This window comes from Homo sapiens, chromosome 4 (genome assembly GCF_000001405.40).
Source record: "Homo sapiens chromosome 4, GRCh38.p14 Primary Assembly".
NCBI lineage: Eukaryota > Metazoa > Chordata > Mammalia > Primates > Hominidae > Homo > Homo sapiens.
In genome coordinates, this window is record NC_000004.12 from 70045261 (window position 1) to 70066946 (window position 21686).

General features: G+C 34.7%; 1 protein-coding gene across 3 annotated transcripts, besides 1 other annotated feature; it reads left to right on the plus strand.

Annotated features, from left to right (window-relative positions):
* Positions 1-5177: 5177 nt before the first annotated feature.
* HTN1 (histatin 1) lies at positions 5178-13588 on the plus strand. 3 transcript variants are annotated; one of them, NM_002159.4, is made up of 6 exons: positions 5178-5235; positions 7804-7867; positions 9062-9082; positions 9161-9190; positions 10238-10342; positions 13320-13588. In NM_002159.4, the coding sequence occupies exons 2-5, from the start codon at positions 7817-7819 to the stop codon at positions 10307-10309; spliced, it is 174 nt and encodes a 57-aa protein (NP_002150.1). In that variant the 5' UTR covers positions 5178-5235; positions 7804-7816; the 3' UTR covers positions 10310-10342; positions 13320-13588. The 3 variants fall into 3 exon arrangements, with proteins under 3 accessions (NP_002150.1, NP_001355919.1, XP_047306148.1); NM_001368990.1 differs by lacking the exon at positions 9062-9082; XM_047450192.1 differs by lacking the exon at positions 13320-13588 and having other exon boundaries at positions 10238-10432.
* Positions 17558-18757: an enhancer, noted in NCBI's record as "MED14-independent group 3 enhancer chr4:70928535-70929734 (GRCh37/hg19 assembly coordinates)". NCBI's record gives its function as "activates an origin of replication core promoter dependent on BRD2, BRD4, P300/CBP and CDK7 cofactors, and independent of MED14, by STARR-seq in HCT116 cells {active_cell/tissue: HCT116}" and the evidence as "EXISTENCE:reporter gene assay evidence [ECO:0000049][PMID:35650434]".

The window sequence follows — 21686 nt, forward strand, 5'->3', positions numbered from 1 at the left end:
TATCCATGCTCACAGTTAAAAGAGGAAAACAAACACGAGATATCAAACAAACAATAGACCCAGTAAGAGATGTGGGAAGGTTTAGCTCCTTGAAATGTATTTATTTATATAAACACCTCTGAGAGAAAGTTTCTGTCCTGTCGTGGTTAAGAGGCTGGACTCTGGAGAGGAGGAACCCTGAGTTTGTATCATGTTCCTGACAACTACTAGTTTCTTTACTGTATTAGTCCGTTCTCATGCTGCTAAGAAGACATACCCAAAACTGGGTAATTTATAAAGGAAAGAGGGTTAATGGACTCACAGTTTCACATGGCTGGGGAGACCTCACAATCATGGCAGAAGACGAAGGAAGGGGAAAGGAACTTCTTACATGGCTGCAGACATGAGGGCATGTGCAGGAGGACTCCCATTTATAGAACCATCAGATCTCCTGAGACTTATTCACTACCACAAGAACAGTATGGAGGAAAATGCTCCCACCATTCAATTATCTCCATCTGGCCTGCCTTTGACATATGGGGTTTATTACAATTCAAGGTGAGATTCCAGTGGGGACACAGCCAAACCATATCAACCTTGAAATTAGTAGTTTCTTAATCTTCTTTAAACATCAGTTTTCTTATCAACAAAATAGATATTATAATAATACTTAACCTCATTTTAGAATTGGGAAGACTATTAACAAATATATTACGTAAAATCCCCTGATTAGAAAGGTGTACAGTTATGACTGCAGATTTCCCTGCCACTAATTCTGTTTCAGAATGTTGTTCAAAACTATGCCTTCTAAAACACAATCTTTGGAGAAGATGTACAAGCACTATATGGGAAATTGTGGGAAATTTACATTATATGCCCTAAGTAAATCCAAGAGCAATTACTGAAAGAATCACTAGTATAATACCAACAAGGAGATATAAAAACGTCTTCAATTTCATTTTTAGAATATCAGTTTTATCTAACTATACACAACATTAAATGTTCTGAATTCTGTGCAATATTAAATATTTATCTACAAAATAAAGCAAATTTTTAGAGATTAAAGATAACTTCTACATTCATCAAAGTTGAAATATTTCATGGAATTTTAAATATTTCTCAGTGCATTGTGAGATTTTATTCCAATTGAATATCCTGTTGACATTAATGATATGGGAAACAGCCTGAACTTGATCTTCTAGGCATTTGATAATAGCTGATGAAATTTAATCAAGAAAGGATACATTTAAAATATTATTTGGGGAAAATAAATATGAATAAAGTATGTAGGCTGTATTTAAGTGGGAGAAAAAATAGAATAATAATGGAACTTAAGAGAAATTTAAATTTAAATTGCAGGTGTTGGATGATAATTTTTATTTATTCTGATACCAATTTAACAAGTATTTAATTGCGTATTATGTGTCAAATATTATTTTGAGCCCTGCATTATATTAGCCTAAATGATCTGTAAATAGCTATGCTGCACTAGGAAGAATATAAATGTTTTCTACAGGAGTTGGTTGAATTACCAAAAAGACAAAGTAAAATGAAAGACTATGATTTAGTGTATTTTCTCTGTTTCAAGATGACTGACTTCCTAATGGATGTTTGATTGGATAGTTGCAATTTCAAACCATTAAGCTGTTTGCAGTGCTGTTTCTGAGTAATAGAAGTCCATTCTTTTTATAAGTGCAATATATTTTAAACAATTCTTATGCAAAAGTTCTTTATTTCTATTTTCTATATTTACAAATATAGCTATTCCTTACATCACTTCTTTTACCCAGTTTGAGAAGCACTGACTGAAGCACTCTATGTCAGAGGTCCTTTAGAGTCAATTATTCCTAATTTAGTCTGTAGTATTTTATATTTTACAAGCATATAATCCTTAAGCTCAGCTAGATTATTGGGCCTATTTATTCTGACATTTGATTGGCTCTGGGTTTCCTTTGGTACACCTAATTTTCTCACCCTGGAAGTTTCTCACATTTTTTACCTCAGTTTCTACAAGACAGAAGGTAACCGCACCGCCCCCCAGCCCCCACCCACCCCACTCATTGTCACTGCACAGTAAAGGGAACACAGACCCCAAACCATCTAATGCCCCCCATCAGTTTGTCTGCAATGACTTTCTTTATTATTATTATTATTATTATTATTATTATTATACTTTAAGTTTTAGGGTACATGTGCACAACGTGCAGGTTTGTTATATATGTATACATGTGCCATGTTGGTGTGCTGCACCCATTAACTTGTCATTTAGCATTAGGTATATCTCCTAATGCTATCCCTCCCCACTACTCCCACCCCACAATAGTCCCCGATGTGTGATGTTCCCCTTCCTGTGTCCATGTGTTCTCATTGTTCAATTCCCACCTATGAGTGAGAACATGCAGTATTTTCATCACAGGAGATTCGGAGAATAAGGAGGAGGAGGAGAAGCAGAAAATGGAGGAAGAGGAGCCCAGAGAAGAAGAGGAGAAAGAGGAGGAGGGGGAGAAGCAGAAGAAGGTGAAGAAGGAGGATAAAAACCCAGCATAAATATCACTATAAAAACCCATTCATGGATTGTATCCATAAGCAACCAGTGTATTGCCACAACTGTGATAAGACAGTGGCTCTTTGTTGATACTTCCCTTGTAATTGAAAGGCATGGCCTTTTCAAAGAACATGATGTTTGCTTATAGAAGACAAGATATCTGTTTTACTTAATTATAAAATATGAAGCCATGTTCTGGTCCATCAGTCTTCTAAAATGGCTTACTGTTCCTGGAGGGTGAGACCATCCCTAGCATGAGAAGGTCACTACTGTATTTCTATGCCACCATGCTTGTTCCACCTGTCATACATAATCACCACACTTCCTAACTTGGAGAAGCAGAAAATCATGGGTGAAATAATGCCTACATTTTGGTGTTCCAACATAAAGTGTATATGCTTTAGGTTTAATTGTAGTTTTTAAATGAGTATATTGACATCTGCCATATCTTACCTGTTAGTTTGCTGTTTGGTAGTGTGCTTTTGGACTATTAGTTTGCTTTTTGTGCACTAGAACATGAATATCTTAGATCCACTGGAACTGTACCTAATATTGTTAGAAAAACGAACTAGGGAAGAAATGAGAGGAGGCAGAGAAGAAAAGAAGAAAGGAAGGAAACCGCTTGACATTTTGTAATTAATTAAAGCAGGGTATATTTTTTAAATCAGACATAGTTCAGTAGTTACTGAACCATGAGATGGTGCAGTGGCTCATGACTGTAATCCCAGCACTCTGGAAGGCTTAGGCACGAGGACCACCTGAAATCAAAAGTTCAAGAACAATGTTGACAAAATTGTGAAACCCATCTCTATAAAAAATAAAATTAAAAATTTAGGCTGGTGCAGTCGTGCGTACCTGTGTCTCTAGCTACTTAGGAGTATGAGGGGAGGTTTGCTTGAGCCCTGTAGTTCCAGACTGCAGTTAGCTATGATTGCACCACTGCACTCCAGCCTGGGTGATGAATGCAGCCTATGTACCTATTAAAAAAAAATAGTCACTGAATCCTATGTAACTTTGTTTCATTGAGAATGTAAAGAGAATGGGTTTGTTTTGTGCCAGAGAAGAGACCTTATATCTCTGATGCTTAGAAATTTCATGCCAAAAGAACAATTTAAATCTAATATACTTGAATTACATATTTGCCTAAATAAATAATTTACATTTTTGTATATTACCTATAGAATACCATAATTTCTAATAGGACTGTTCAAATTAGCATAGATGATTTATCTAAGAAATATTTCCTTTAAAAACTCACACACAAATTCATTTTATTTTATTTTATTTTACTTTCCTATTTTACTTTAAGTTCTGGGATACGTGTGCAGAACATGCAGATTTGTTGCATTGGTAAACGTGTGCCATGGTGGTTTGCTGCACCTATCAACCCATCATCTAGGTTTTAAGCCCCACATGCATTAGCTATTTGCCCTGATGCTCTCCCTCCCTTCCCCACCACCAGGCCCTGGTGGGCGTTGTTTCCTTCCCTGAATCAGACACAAATTTAAAACACAATTTCTAATTAGTGGGATCAAGCTAAAGACCATGCGTTTATAAATCTCTTAAGTAGTTTTTCTATCTTTAAAGTACACAAAGAGTTTCCTGGACATGTTCTTAAAATTCCGGTTCCAGGTGTACACCACAAGATTCTGACTCAGTAAGTTTGGAAAAGTAGAATAAGAATCTGCATTTCAACAGCTACTAGCTGATGCTGATCATGATGGTCGCATGTGGCACCCTCTGAGGAACAATGGACTGGGCTGTATAACTTATCTGAACTTTAGAAAAGAGTTTTTAATACTCAGTTCTTAGCACATCAAATTCTCCAACCGGTAGAGAGTAGGTGAATGCTTATACATGTTTGCCTATGAATTAAATTAAAATTCTGTTTTTCTCTTTCTGTCTAATATAGTTATTTCAACAAATGGCCTCTATAAATATATATGAACCTCAGAAAACTCCAGGGAAGTAAATTCAAATTTCTAAACATAAGAAATCAGTTTTATGTGAGAGATATGTGACCAAGCACCTAGAATCTTTTGACATTAAATATGAGAATGTTTTTATCATATGATATCCAAAAGATGATTGAATTTTGGCAAATGTTTACATTCACTTTATTACTTAAAACACTCAAAGTCAATGTAAAGGTAAAAATACAAGATAAATAATGATTTGTAGGAAAACTTTTGAAGTATAGAATGACTCCAATTTTATTATGCCAATTATCACTATTTACTAGAGAATGTGTAAAATTTTGATAACATGGTAAGTATTATTTTTGACATAGCGTTGTTCCATCTTGGACATATATTTGTTGAAAAGTAGTAGATGGTATTCTACAGAAACATCTTTATCACTGCAATCATTTCTATGCCTGGTTTCCTCCAGCGTGCTTTTCCGTTGTCTGACTCACTCAGGGCTAGACTAACACTGGGATTAGCATGTGATGGGTCCATTCGCTTTCCGGTTGCTTTGTCTTCACAATGATCTATTGTAAAATCACCTGGTTAAGTTTATTTTTAGAATTTGTAGAGACAGATTTTGGGCATTACTTTCCGTCTCAATCATATGATCTCCTAATTGATGCTATTTAGAAAAACAAAAGGGAGATTTCAACGTGTTTAAATACATCAGCCATATAGAAAAGGACATCTCTTGAGACTTCACTTCAGCTTCACTGACTTCTTGACTCTCCTCTTGAGTAAAAGGTAATATGTTCAAGTACAATCTAATATTATATATTAGCATAAGCTTTTGTTTGCTAAAATCAATAGTAACCCACTTATGAAAATGTATATTATCTATTTAAATCTAGTTTACTTGAATTGCGTATTTGCCTAAATAAATAATTTACATTTTTGTATATTACCTATAGAATACCATAATTTCTAATAGGACTGTTCAAATTAGCATAGATGATTTATCTAATAAATATTTCCTTTAAAAACTCACACACAAATTCATTTTATTTTATTTTATTTTACTTTCTTATTTTACTTTAAGTTCTGGGATACGTGTGCAGGACATGCAGATTTGTTGCATTGGTAAACGTGTGCCATGGTGGTTTGCTGCACCTATCAACCCATCATCTAGGTTTTAAGCCCCGCATGCATTAGTTATTTGCCCTGATGCTGTAATGTGTACAATTTTGTACTCGGGATCTGAAGATGACTTCCAGATCTCAATTCCTATGAATTAACACCAGCAATCATCACGCAAAGTAAATTATGTGGAATATGGCAATGTATTACATCCTCTCTGATGGTGGGACCTCAATTAACTCTTTTTATTTCCTTGTCTAGATACCTAATATCTACTTTCTTAATTATTAATTCTACATTTAACTTAAACCAGGAGTTCAAATTTTACAAGAAGATACTGATAAATTCTCTCTTGGTAAATATATTATTATAAAGGTTTATTTTTAAAAATTTACTTTCTTCTTAATAGGAAACTATTTTATTACTTTTTTATTGACCTTTCCATCATTTAAAACAGTGCTGTTATAATGCAAAGCATATACTGTATAAGAGTTAGTCATCTCAATCTTACTAATTTGTTTAACTCATTTTCATTCATTTGTGTTATGGCAGAAAAGAAAGAGTTTACTGTTCCAAATTTTTATTGATGTGTTACTTGGGAAATATGTTTTTCATAACCATTAATTGTATATTGATTATCTATGTTCGTTTATCTATCAGTTTATGTGTTAGTAAAAGAAGACCAATTTCTTAGAACCCTTTTTTATTTTGTACTTGCAACAGAATTGACAATCATTAACAACAGTAAAATTCTCATGCCTTTTGTATCATAAAAAGAGTTGTAGTAGGATTTATATATTAGGTAATAGAAAAACTTCAAAATACATAATTTTTATAGTTAGTCCTATAGTAGAAGTTTCCATTTAATTGAGTGAAGCAAAATAAACGAATAAATAATATGGTAAATGCCATAAATCTTGGGTTCTGCTTTTCATGATAGAGATGTAGGGCTGTTTAAGAGCAGGACATTTTATTATAATTAGATGAAAAATGTTACTGTAATGTTATATCACAAATGACAGGAAAGAGAGATTAGAAAAAAATTTTTAAATTACCTATTAATGAATTACTTTATAACTGCAATTAACAGCCAAAAATGCCATGTAACTGTAAGTCTTGTGGTAATTGTATTTTCCAATGGAAATGCTTTTATTTACGTTTGTAATTTAGAAATAAGTAACCTGCTATACTTTTTTATATCTGCAAAGGAACTGGATACACTTGCATATACATAATTATAAAAGCATATCAGAGTCCCAGATGAGGCTAACTTTGTTGAATAATATTATTTGAAATATTGAATAATCTTCACCAGTTCAACTTCTCAAAGTAGATACAATCATTTTCCCTGTGAATTCTCTTCATTTTATTTTTCGCTACCCAATATCACTAATGTTCTAATCTCAGGGTTACACCATCTGTGGATTCTGTAATAGAACTCTGGCTCATAGTCACTGACTTTATTATAAAGCCAGTCTCCATTGCTTTTCATTCTACTTTCCTAATATCTCTTTACACTGTACCTTAATTAGCATTCTTAATGTCATTATATAAGTCCCCTGTAGTGTCACAACAACCTAAGTGGTCATCTTTTCTCCAGTTTTGTCCTCCCTATGTGTTGAACTGTTTGCATTTTTAACATGCTTTCCTCTCTGTTTTATTTCTTTATAGGCTCCCAACACCACCCTTTACTCATTCCATATAATCCAACTCAAGCTTGCCTTTCTTCATTACCTTCTTACTCCCATCCTCTTGGTCTGTTTAAGATGTCCATTTGTGTGTTTCATTAGCATATTAATATTTCCAAATCAGAGCACTCACCTTTACTTATCAATTCATGAGGCCATGCCTGGGGCTCACACCTGTAATCCAAGCATTTTGAGAAGACAAGGCAGGAAGATTCCTAGAGCCCAGGAGTTTCAGAACTGCCTGGGAAATATAGTGAGACTAAAAACATTCTCTACTAAAAAAAAAAAAAAGAAAGAAAAAATTCGCTGGGCATGGTGGCACACACTTGTAGTTCCAGCTACAAGTGGGACTAGGGAGGCTAAGGTGGGAGGATGGCTTGAGACCAGATGGTCCAGGCTGCAGTGATCTGTGCTCATGCCCCTGCACTCCAGCCTGGAAAACAGAGCATGTCTCCCAATGCTTTGAAGCATAGTGTCATCAATAGAAGTTTGATGAATGAATGCATGAAAGAATGTGATTACTGATTTTTCATGTTTGATTTTATAGGACTCAGCCAACTATGAAGTTTTTTGTCTTTGCTTTAGTCTTGGCTCTCATGATTTCCATGATTGTAAGTATATCTGGAAATTTTAAATACTACATTCTCAGTACTTATCCCAAGTGTCTCTCTTATTCCTTGTGTTCTGGTATATACTCATGTTGACCTCAATACAGCTTTATAAGCTTTAATATTTCCCTACAAGGAGTTTCTTTGAATTAACTTATGTAAGTTCTTTAAGGACTTGGAATAGATATTCATCACATACCTACAAACACTCAAGTACAATTACTTGAATGTAAAAGTAAAAGAAAATTTAGCGAGCTTTTTAAATATGTGGGACTAAGATCTGTGAAAGTATCTTTAAATGTGAAAAGCTCTAGACCATCTGAAGTTAGAAATCTGAGGAAAGAAAAAGGTGCACTTCAATGGAACCCAAGTATTAGAGGGTGTCAAAATAGGAATTTTCAAGTCATTTCTTGCACAACCTACTCTTAAAGTCAGCATACAATTATTTAATTCTTCCTAAAATAAAGCTGCTTATTTTAAACCATAAAACAAATCTCCATATTTATTAAGTGTCATGAGTTCCCAGCTCTATTGTCATTTACTACTGTGTATTAGTAGGAAAAGCACTTGACCTCTTTGGAGCTCTTTCTCCTTCTCTACTTCCACCGCCTCTTCCTCCTCCTCCTCCTCCTCCTCTTTCTATGAACTTAATAGAAAATTGGTCACAAAAGAATAATAATACTCCAAACTATCCACTAAATTCTAATGAATGTTTCGAAACTGAATTGGTTATGATATCACAGTTTATCACGTGATTTTATTATAAAAGGATAGAAGTAGAAAAATAAACAAATAAGAACAGAGTAAAGCATAATGCCTGTCTCTATCAGCAAATAAAATATTTGTATGTTGGTAGCTTTTGAGCTACATGGAACATATTCATATAAAAAACAATCCAGAGTTTCATTTTTCAGTTTCCACTCTCTTATTCACCAGTGACAGACTTTTCCTGCCTTACATAAAAAAGATATATAAACCAAAATGAGTTGATATTTGAATATAGCACATTAATTATAGCATTTACCCCTCACTCATTTTGAAGATGTCATAAAGCTAAAATAACTAATTTAGTCTGTCATCAACCAAAGAATGCCTCCATTCTGTTTAATCATATATGTGGCTAAGTCAATATTTATACTTACTCTTGAATTATAAAATTAAAATATTAATTATTTTCTCATTTTCTTTTTTTCCAAGAGCGCTGATTCACATGAAAAGGTAAGACATTTTCATTTACGGGAAAACTTGATAAATAAACATATATTGAATTTTTAATCTTTTCTTTTTATTTCATAGAGACATCATGGGTATAGAAGAAAATTCCATGTAAGTGTTCTTCTGATAATGTGCACTCTAAATAAATTTTCCTCTCTGACTATTTATTCTCCTAGAAGAATCAATAGTTGTCTCTCAAATATATCTATATCATTAATTGCTAAAGTGCACATTGATTTCATTTATTTATGATGCAAAGGCAAAAAGTCACAAATATCTTGTGTCCTAAAAGCATTTCAACAGAAACTCAATTCCACCTGAAATAAGTCAATTGTCAATTATTCTCTGAGAACTTATCTTTGTCCTGTAAATAATTTCATTGACCTAAAGAATAGTTGAAATCCTAATTCTATTAAGTATAACATATGCTTAATAAAGCATAGAGGCTACTCATGTAATGTGGTAAGTTTCTACCTTCTGAATTTTTGAGGATGATACAGTCTTTAAATTAAACTGACTGTGCTAAATTAGACAGAAAATTGTATTTCTCTAACATTTTTCTCACTGTATGTATATAAAGTCTCATGTTATTTTGACCTGTAATATCAATATGAATCTGGGTTCTAAAGTTCTCCTTACTAACATAGCAAGTATACATGTTAAAAAAGCACCAAGTAAAAAGATGCATAAAAATGGATGAAGACTGTTTGTGTTAACAGCAGTGGGTATGAAAGAATGTAGGAGTTGTAAAGGAAAGTAAGATCACTAAAGGAATGACATTAAGAAGCACCACCTAAGTTGGAAACAGTAACTTAATCCTTTCCATAATACTCAATAGTGAGCAAAATAGTAGCTTGGAGGTAATATTTTAAAGAAGATTTGAACCCTGGTTAGAGAGGTTACCTATAATCAGTGTTTCCACCTGTGCTATTGTCACAAAAATATCAGCAAACAGTAAATACTTTATCATTTTTACCTACTTTTAGACATTTTTCTGATAAAAAAGAAAAATGTAAAAGTTTGAAAACATTTATGTAGATAAAATACAAGGTCTTAACAACTTTAGCAATCTAAGCTTTTAATGACAGTTTTTGAGAAACACTTGTATTGTCATTCTCTATTCTCTGCAATTTGCTCTCTCCTTTTGTGTGTATGCAGGAAAAGCATCATTCACATCGAGAATTTCCATTTTATGGGGACTATGGATCAAATTATCTATATGACAATTGATATCCTTAGTAATCATGGGGCATGATTATAGAGGTAAGCTGACTCTAGTTGCTTGTCTTTCTAGAAGTGTCAACACTGACAGTTTAAAAAAAAAGCCATAAGCTAACAACCATTCCAGTTTAAGAAATGTAGCATGGGTTAGCTCCTTGAAGTGTATTCATTTGTATAAATGCTTCTGAAGCTGTAGATATGTGGTGTTATTTCTGAGGTCTCTGTTCTGTGCCATTGGTCTGTATGTTGTTTTGGTACTGGTACCATGCTGTTTTGGTAACTGTAGCTTTGTAGTATAGTTTGAAGTCAGGTAGTGTGATGCCTTCAGCTTTGTTCTTTTGCTTACAATTGTCTTGGGTATATGAGCTTTTCTTTGGATCCATATGAAATTTAAAGTAGTTATTTCTAATTCTGTGAAGAATGTCAATGGTCATTTGATGGGAATAGCATTGAATCTATAAATTACTTTGATCAGTATGGCCATTTTCATGATAATGATTTTTCTTATCCATGAGAATGGAATGTTTTTCCATTTGTTTGTGTCCTTTCTTATTTCCTTGAGCAGTGGTTTGTAGTTCTCCTTGAAGAGGTCCTTCACATCCTTTGTTAGCTGTATTTCTAGGTATTTTATTCTCTTTGTAGCAATTGTGAATGGGAGTTCATTCATGATTTGGGTCTCTGCTTGCCATCTGATATTCAACAAACCTGACAAAACAAGTAATCAAGAAAGGATCTCCTATTGAATAAATGATGCTGAGAAAACTGGGTAGCCATATGCAGAAAACCGAAACTGGACCCCTTCCTTACACCTTATACAAAAATTAACTCAAGACAGATTAAAAACTTAAATGTAATACCCCAAACCATGAAAACCTGAGAAGAAAACTTAGGTGATACCATTCAGGACAGCCGTTGGCAAAGACTTCATGTAAAAAAATGCCAAAAGCAATTGCAACAAAAGCCAAAATTGACAAATGGGATCTAATTAAACTAAAGAGCTTCTGCACAACAAAAGAAACTATCATCAGAGTGAACAGGCAACCTAGAGAATGGGAGAAAATGTTTGCAATCTACTCATCTGTCGAGCTCTAATATCCAGAATCTACAAGGAACTTAAACAAATTTACAAGACAAAAACAAACAACCCCATCTAAAAGTGGGCAAAGGACATGAACAGATAGTTCTCAGAAGAAGACATTCATGCAGCCAACAAACAAGAAAAAAAGCTTATCATCACTGATCATTAGAGAAATGCAAATAAAAATCACAATGAGATACCATCTCACTACCAGTCAGAATGCTGATTATTAAAAAGTCAAGAAACAATAGATGCAGGTGATGCTGTGGAGAGACAAGAACACTTTTACACTGTGTGTGAGAATGTAAATTAGTTCAACCATTGTGGAAGACAGTATGGTGATTCCTCAAGGATCTAGAACCGGAAATACCATTTGATGCAGCAATCCCATGACTGGGTATATACCCAAAGGAACGTAAATCATTCTACTATAAAGACATATGCCTACATATGTTTATTGCAGCACTATTTACAATAGCAAAGACATGGAACCAACCCAAATGACCATTAATGATAGACTGGATAAAGAAAATGTGGTACATATACACCATGGAGTACTATGCAGCCATACAAAGGAATGAGATCCTGTCCTTTGCAGGGACATGGATGAAGCTGGAAGCCATCATCCTCAGCAAACTAACACAGGAACAGAAAGGAAACAGCACAAGGTCTCACTCATAAGTGGGAGCTGAACAGTGAGAACACGTGAAGACAGGGAGGGGACAACACAAACCAGGGATGGAGGGGAGGGAGTAAGGGAAGGTAACAGAGGACTGATCAATAGGTGCAGCAAACCACCATGGCACACATATACCTATGTAACAGAACTGCATGTTCTGCATATGTATTCTAGAACTTAAAGTAAAATTAAAAAATAAAATGAAATAAAATAAAAATGCCTCCGAGGGAAAGCTTCTGTTCACCAGTGTTAAGATGCTGAGTTCTGGGTAGGAACTATAGTTCCAGTTCTGACCTGGAACTATTCCTAATCTTCTCCATACCTCAGTTTTCTAATCGACAAATACATATTATAATACTACTTAAGCTTTTTATAGAGTTGGAAAGACTATTGAGAGACATTATATAGAAGCCCTTGTTCTGGAAGGTGTATGGTTGTGGCCATAGGCTTCTCTGCCACTAACACTGTACATGGATGTTATTTGAAGTTTTCTGTCCTAAAATGAAATCTTTGAAGAAGTTGCACAACCACCATCTGGGAACTCATAAAAAATTTACATTTTATGCCTAAGCAACTCTAATGAGCAATTGCTATAGGAATGACTAATATAACATCAACAAGGAGATGGGAATTTTCAAGGAAATAGAAAATGGTAACAATTTCCTTTTCATAAAGTCAGTTTTATTTATCTATATTCACAGCATAAAATGTTCCAAAATCTATGAGATACTAAAGATTACATTTCAAAATAAAGCAATATTTTGGAGATAACAGAGTACTGTTCTACAATTCAAAGCTGAAATAGTTCAAAAGGTGTCAAATATTTTTTAATGTATTGGGACATTTTATTCATATTGAATTCCTGCTCTTTGTGATATCAGAAAAAGCCTGATCTTTATCCTCCAGGTGTTAGATAATTGCTGATGACATTTAATCAGGGGAGGATATATTTAAAATATTATTTGGGGGAGATAGATGAAATGTGTAGGCTATATTTAAGTGGAAGAATAAAGTAAGATGATGATGGAAAACCTCAAGAAAAATTTAAATTTAATTGCAAATGCTGAATGATAATTTTTATTTATTCTGATACCCACTTAATGAGTATTTAATTGTCTACTCTATATCAAATAGTATTTTGGTCCCTGCATTATAATAAATAAAACTATCTATAAATACATACTTTCTGCCAGCAAGAGTATAAATTTATTTATAGGAGTATCCATTTTGAAGATAAAGTGTTATTTTCTTTTTCTTCACAGGTTTGACTGGCAAATTCACTTTTTACTCATTTATTCTCATTCATCATACCGCATCACACTACCACTGCTTTTTGAAGAATTATCATAAGGCAATGGAGAATAAAAGAAAGACCATGATTTAGTGAATTCTGTGTTTCATGATACTTCCCTTCCTAATTATCATTTGATTAGATACTTGCAATTTAAACTGTTAAGCTGTTTTCACTGCTGTTTCTGAGTAATAGAAATTCATTCCTCTCCAAAAGCAATAAATTTCTAGCACATTATTATGTGTATGCTCTTTATTTCTCTTTTTTATATTTACATATATAAAGATTTCTTTCTTCACTTCGTTTTCCCAGTTTGAGTAGCACTGACTATAGTACTTTATACCATAGCTCTTTTGAAATGATTATTTTTAATTTAGCATGTTATATTCATTTTGTGTTACAAACATATGGTCCTCAATCACATCTAGATTACTAGACCTACTGATACGAACATTTGATTTGTTTCTGGTGTCCTTTGCCACAGCACATTTCTTAGCCTTGTACATTCCCACATTTCTTATCTCAGGCCCTACAGTCCAGAAGATGACCCCCATGTCACTCCACAGCAGTAGGCAGGCACTCAGAACACAAACCATCTAATGCTCTCTATCAGTTTGTCAATATAGCCATTGAACAAAAATTTATTGAGTGATACCAGCTGTCAGATACTGTTCTAGAGGCTGCAGTCACAGAAAAAGAGTCAGAGCCCTGTTGTCAGAGCTTTTACATTGCAATTGGGAGATGCAGACAAAAAGTAAACAAAGAACACATGACTTAGGCAATAATAAGTGTGCTAAAGAAGTGTAAAGCAGGACTAGGATATAGAAGCAGCCTCAAATAGGATAGTCAAGGATAACCTCTCTGGTATAGGTGACCTTTTAGAAAAGATATAATTTAAATATGGGAGTAAGCATGAAGAAAGACATTTTCAAGCAGAAGAAATAACAAGTACAAATCCATTGTGAATTTTTGGTTACATATGAGTTGTAGAATAGTTTCTCCACTCTTGTGTAAAATGATGGCAATTTCATAGGAATGGCATTGAATCTGTATATTGTTTTGGACAATGTAGCCATTTTAATAATATTGATTCTTCTAATCCATGAGCATGGAATGTTTTCCATTTGTTTGTGTCTTTTGTGATTTCTTTCAACAATGTTTTGTAGTTCTCCCTGTAGAAATCTTTCATCTCCTTGGTTAGATGTATTTATAGGTTTTTATTTTGTGTGTGTGTGGCTATTGTAAATGAGATTGTGTTCTTGATTTGACACCTTGCATATGATTCATGAATAGAAATGCTACTGATCTGTGTCCATTAATTTTGTTTCCTGAAACTGTACTGAAGTGGTTTATCAGTTCCAGGAGTCTTTTGGTGGAGCCTTTAGGGTTTTGTAGGTATTGAATCAAATTTCCATGAAGAGAGAGAATTTGACTTCCACTTTTCCTAGTTTTTTATTACTATATCTTGTTGATAGCTCTTTCTATTTCTTTCAATATTATGTTGAATAGGAGTGGTGTGATTGGACATCCTTGTCTTGCTCCAGTTCTCAAGGTGAATGCTTCTAGTTTTTGCCCATTCAGCATGATGATGGCTGTGGGTTTGTCACAGCTAGTTCTTTTTATTTCAAGATATGTTCCTTCGATGTCTAGATCGTTAAGGGTTTTTATCATGAAGGAACGTTGAGTTTTATCAAAAGCTCTTTCTGCATCTGTTAAGATTATATGGTTTTTGCTTTTACTTCTGTTTATGTGGCAAATCACATTTATTGATTTATGTATGGTGAACCAATCTTGCATCTCTGGAATGAAGCCTGCTTGATAATGGTGAATTAACTTTTCGATGTGCTGTTGGTATCGGTTTGCTAGTATTTTGGTGAGGATTTTGCATCTATATGCATCGAGTATATTGGCCTATAGTTTTCTTGTGTGTGTGTGTGTGGGTGTGTTTGTGTGTGTGTCTGTGTGTGTCTTTGCTAGGTTTTGCTATTGCAGTGATTCTGGCTTAACAGATGAGTTAGGGAGGAATCTCTCCTCCTCAGTTTTTTGGAAAAGCTTTAGTATAATTGATACCAGCTCTCAGTATGTCTGGTAGAATTAAGCTGTGAATCCATGTGGTCTGGGGCTTTTTTTTTTTTTTTGATTGGTAGGTTTTGAATTACTGACTCAATAATTAAACTCAATATTTGTCTGTTCCAGGTATCCATTTCTTCCTGGTTCAATCTTGAGAGATTGTCTGTTTCTAGGAACTTATTCATTTCTGCTTGGTTTACTAGTTGTGTGCATAGAGGTGTTCATAATTGTCTCTAAGGATCTTTGCAATTCTGTGGACTCAGTTGTAAAGTCACCTTTGTCATTTCTGTTGGTTCTTATTTGAACCTTGTCTTTTATTTTTTCTTATTAATCTAGCTGGCAGTCTATTGATCTCATTTATCTTTTGAAAAAACTAACTTTTGGTTTCATTGATTTCTTGTATGGCTTCTGGTTCCGAGTTCCATTTACTGCATTTACTTCTTATCCTAATGCTTTTTATTTGCTTGCTTGTTGTTGTTGTTGTTTGAGACAGAGTTTCACTCTTGTCACACAGGCTGGAGTGCAATGGCATGATCTTGGCTCACTGCAACCTCCACCTCCCAGGTTCAGGCGATTCTCCTGCCTCAGCCTCCTGTGTGGCTGGGATTACAGGTGCCCACCACCACACCTGGCTAATTTTTGTTTTTTGTTTTGTTTTGTTTTGTTTTGTTGGTGGAGACAGGGTTTCACCGTGTTGGCCGGGCTTGTCTCGAACTCCTGACCTCAGGTGATCTGCCCACCTCGGCCTTCCAAAGTGCTGGGATTACAGGCATTAGCCACTGTGCCCAGCCATATCCTGATGTTTTATTAAGAATCTGTAAGTTTCATGAGGGTCAGCAAAGTCCTTCATGATGAGTCTTCTCAAACAGTTGTATGATTCTGCAGGAGTAATGTCACCTTGAGTGCCCACATAAAACAAACCCTCTTAACCCCAGCATTTACCATGACTGGATAATAGGGATATTCAGTGGGTGAATATGCCAGCTATCATAAAGCCAGTCCCACATGGCTTGCATATGAAGCATATCAGCTGCTTCATCTTGGTGCTGCACTTGGCATTTTATAGGGAGAGTTGGGCAGTCCCCTTCTTAGGAAAAACAGACCTTACAGTGGTGTTTATCCAGTCCACTAGGCTGGTCATTCTTTCTGGAATGACCTCCTGTGCATATGGATCACATATACGCATCAACAATTCTTTAATAGTGAGCTGTGGAGCCTGAATTAACCCAAACATACTTTTTCATTCCATAGCATTTAAAATTAAGGATACTGTCCTTAAAGTAGTTATTTTTACAATCCATTATCAGAAAGATTTCTCATGAAGGAGATGATACCAATTTACAAAATGCAATTATACCCTCTGGATTTTGTACTTACTTGATTTTGCCTTTCCCCCACATTGACTATCCTTTTAGTAACCACAGGTCTCAGAGGTAACTTTTTGTTGCTCTGGGTTAATAGTTTTCTTTTGGGTAGCTTTGAGGTTAGTGGCCTGAGCTGAGACATTCCCATATCTGAGCTTGGTCTAGCCTGAAGACCCAACCCAGCATGCTTTTACTTTCATTTTAGCTATTTATAGATAACAATAAGCAAGTGATTGAATATTTTGCGTTTTTCTTATTAGTTTGCATTTCCTCATGCATTGGGTGAACTAATTCCCTGAGAGTATGGGTATGATACAGCTCTAAATTCCACTGGTAACTTTTATCTTTAGTAACTGAATGCAGCCCAGCTAAAGCTCCTGAAGATGGGCAACCACACGGCCACCCAAGAGTCAAGGTTTCTCATTCCACATCTTTTCATTTTCTCTTAATCCATTTAGTTTTTTCTGTATAATTTTTCCTTCATTTAAAAATGACTCTTAAATAGTCTTTAAACAAGAAAAAAATACACTTTTCTTTAGCAAAAAAAATACATCTTTGTGTTTTATAAACTTCATCAGAAACACCTTTCACTCTCCTACTATTTTAACTCTTAGTAACCCCATTCCCAGTGAAAAAACATGGTTTAACAAACCATGACTTTAAGATTTTAAATTACTGGAGAGAATTTTGAGATTAAATTTACCAAAGTAATCTTACCAAAGATTACCCAAGTCATGTGAAATAAAAGGTATCTGAGTTAGCCTCTATTAGCCTGCTAAGCACTGACTTTTCTTTAAGCCAATAGATTAGAGCTTTTTCAAATAATTTGGTAGTGAAACATCACTTCCACGTGACACATACAAATATATAAATGTAATAGACATACAAAGGCCAGTCCAAAAGATTTTTCATTTGGCTGTTTTGAAAAAATTCTCTCACTTACTTTAGATTATTAATAAAGAGATGTTATAGGAGCCAACAAAAGGTGAAGGAGAGTTATCTACCATCTCAGGCCTTTTCAAAACAGAGAAAGCATCAAACTTCTGGGATATCAATCTGAAGAATTGCAAAAAGAAATGCTTCTTGAACAACCAGCCTTATTATTTTAGAAGAAAAAATTCAAAATATAAGATTATTACTAATATAAAGTTGAATTTCTACTAACATTTTTCTTCTTACCAAAAGTATCTTTTTATATCTATAACTTTCCTTATATTTCTCTTATTTTCTGGTTCCTTTTACTTCATTTTATATACCTCTAAATAACCTTTGAATTAGACAAAAAATATTTACCTCTTAATAAAAAAACACTGTTTAAAATATTTTTCTGTATTTTTAAAATTGGAAATTACCCAGACATTTAATTAATGTCTATTTTTTAATATAATCTTAGATTCTAAATTGTATGACAAGTTTAGCATAGTGGATTGACCTGTCTTGATAGTGGGTGGGACTCCACAGTGTTTCACCACTGAGTCATTTCCGCCCTCTTACATGCCTTGGTTTCTCTCTTCAGAGGTCTCCTACCACCAAGAAGGTTCAAAACATGGAGTGACCAGCTCCCATATACATTTCCTTAATGAGTCTTTTTAAACTAAAGTTGTTGGGGGTTCCCCGCAGGGCTGCTGCACATCACAGGAGGTCAACCCTCCAGATACTCTCACTTGGCTTCTGGTCACCCAGGGGCACCTTTCGGCTGGGAGGAGCAAAATGCCCTTTCTCTTCGGAACTGAGAAAACTCAGCCTCTCATTTATCTAGGAAAACAACAGTTCAGTTCCTCACATGAATATGCAGACAAGACAATTGTGCTAATTTGGGAGAAAAAGCAATAGAGAAGACCCTTTAGAATGCACCTCTCTGAACTGGAAACCAAACAGGTTGCCCAAAAGGAGGTTATTCTCCTTGTCTTTAAAAAAAGGCAATGGAAAAGATCCTGTAGAATGCACCTCTGTAGGAGAATCTCTTGAACCCGGGAGGCGGAGGTTGCGGTGAGCCGAGATCGCGCCATTGCACTCCAGCCTGGGCAAAAAGAGCGACACTCCGTCTAAAAAAAAAAAAAAAAATGCACCTCTCAAATAGAATTAGGATCCTAAACAACTTCCTAGCACGAAAAAAAAATGCAGCTCAGAATAAATCAAGGACCCTCAACCAAAGGGACGTTCAGGGCTCAGGAGGACTTGCCAGTTTCACTAGAGGAGAAGCTCAAAGTCAGGGAGGCTTTCAATGGGCCCCTGCTTGTACCCTAGCTCCAAGTTTGGGCAACTCCTTCAGGGTCCTGAGTCTTCTCTGAGGCCCCACATGCTCAGGCAACAAATTATTGTTCACAAAAATAATCAAACTGTAAAATATTTGAAGAGGTTTATTCTGAGTCAAAAATGAGTGACCAATGGCCTTTGACACAGACCATAGGAGATCCTGAGAACACGTCCCCAAGGCAGTCAGGGTACAGCTTAGTTTTATACATTTTAGGGAGACATGAGACATTGATCACTACATGTAAGCTATGTTATACATTGGTTTTGTCCAGAAAGGTGGGACAACTGGAAACAGGGGCTTCCAAGTCATAGATAGATTCAACAATTGTCTGATTGCCAATTGAGTCAAAAAGTTAGGTTATTGTCTAAAGACTTAGGAAAGACTGGGTTAAGATAAGGGGATGTGGACACCAAGGTTCTATCATGCAGGTGAAGCTTCCATGTAGCAGGCTTTGGAGAAAATAGACTGTAAATGTTTCTTATCAGACTTAAAGAGTCTGTTCTATCAGTAATTCCAACAGGGACGAGAGTATAAAGAGGCATGTTTAACCCTCTGCTTCCCATCATGGCCTGAACTAGTTTTTCAGGTTAGCTGTGGAATGTTCTTGCTGAGAGGAGTCCGTTCAGATGGTCAGGGGCCTTACAATTTTAGTTTTGGTTTGCACCTGTAGGTATTAACACACTCAAGGTTGTTTTACAGTTCATTTAAGTCCTGTGTTGTTTTCTTAGTTTTTCTCTATTATTTTTGACATTTTTATTCCTATATTTTCAATTTTCTTCCTTACAATTTTAGTTTTGGTTTATATCTGTAGGTATTAACACACTCAAGGTTGTTTTACAGTTCATTGAAATCCTGTGCTGTGTTTTTAGTTTTTCTCTATTATTTTTGATAGTTTTAGTCTTATATTTTCAATTTTCTTAACTTTTTTCTTTATTATCTGGCATGCTGTTAATTATGTACTTTTTATGTCAGATATTGTATTTTTAAATATACTCATGCTCCCTCTAGTTTAACATAGACAATATAGTTACAACACATATTTGTATTATTGTTTACTAATTCTATCATTTGTATCACTTCTAGGACTATTTGTATTGATTGATTATTTTTCTTCACTGCAAGTCATGTTTTCTTTCTTTGTTACACGCCTGGTAATTCTTTATTGGCTGACAGACCTTGTGATTAGCTTGTTTGAGCCCTGAATTTTTTTATTCATTTAAATATCATTGAGCTATGTTCTAGGTCATAGTAAAGTTGCTTTTAAACAATTTTCACTTTAGACTTGCTTTAAAGCTTTACTAGGAAATGCAGAACAGAAAATTCATTCATTTATAGGTAAACTTAACACATTACTCAAGCAATACCTTTCTAAGTATTCTAACCATGCCATGTATACTACAAGGTATTTCCACTCTGGCTGATGGTAACATGATCTATTCCCAGTCCTGTTTGTGCTCCAGGCATTATACCATCTGCTTCTTTCTGATGTTCTTTCCCCAGCCTCATAGAGTTTTCTTGCATTCATTCCTGCTAATCAAAACTCAGCAGATAATTAAAGATAACCCTCTTTAGATCTCCAGAATTCCTTCCCTGTGCAATTCCTTCCTATCTTTGAAATCTTTTCCTCTTCAGTATTAGGTATTAATTTTAGAGGCTTCCATCCATTAATCTCAACTATATCTCTTCAATTAAGGGAATTGCTTATTCTATTTAAACGCTTCCTTTCTCTGTTGCAATTTGTACATTTTTTCCTCATAATAAGGTGAGATAATTATTATAGGGCTCATCTCACTCTTTTCCCTTCTCTTGGGAATCACCATCCTGCATTTCTTATTGTATAAGACAGGAAAATTTTTATATCATTTATTTTGTTATTTGTCTAGTTACTGAAAACAGGAGTTAAGGTAAATGCAGTCCCTGATACGCAATTCTGGCCAAAAACTGAATTCCAGAGTAAAAGTGTTTTGAGGTTTTCACAAGGCCCTAAAAGTCCTGCGTTATTTGGCTCCTTTTGTTTCTCTGACCTCAGGTTAACCAGATTTACTCAACCCCAGCCACACTCTTCTATTTGTTATTTTTAAACATGCCACGCATGATCCTATTTTAAGGCCTGCACTAGGTTGCTCTTCTCCCAGCATTCTTCCTGGTTTATACATTTACTTCTTTACATTTTTACTCTTTTGCTCAGGGAGGATTTCCTAGCTATGCTATCTAATATTGAAAACCCCTTCCCTAACAAAACTTCTTATTTCTTTTTCCAATTCCGTTTTCCCCTTAGTATTTATCACTATCAAACCAACTATAGATTACTTAATTATCATGTTTATTAGTCTCCCTTTCAGTTAAACCATAAACTCCATAAAGCATGGAACTTTTCTTTTTTCATGACTCTATTTTATGTGTTCAAAAGAGTTCATGGCATATAGTAGGTTCTCAGTAAATCTTTGTTCAGTCAAATATAGTTATATATTAGCACCTATCTACATATAAATTTTTATATTTTCTTTTAATTAAATGTAAAAAACCATACACCAACTGTATAAGGAATTGTGTTTGTATGAGAATCACAGGATATTTTCACAGCTTTGTCCAATTTTAAGCTGATGTTTTAAAACAGAAATTTATCAGGCATTTCCAATGAGAATTT

Excerpts from the sequence above, each read along its gene's own strand:
- HTN1 (NM_002159.4), top strand. The coding sequence starts at position 7,817 with ATGAAGTTTTTTGTCTTTGCTTTAGTCTTGGCTCTCATGATTTCCATG. Across the intron at positions 7,868-9,061 it reads CTCTCATGATTTCCATGATT|AGCGCTGATTCACATGAAAA; the intron begins GTAAGTATATCT and ends TTTTTTTCCAAG. Across the intron at positions 9,083-9,160 it reads GCGCTGATTCACATGAAAAG|AGACATCATGGGTATAGAAG; the intron begins GTAAGACATTTT and ends TTTATTTCATAG.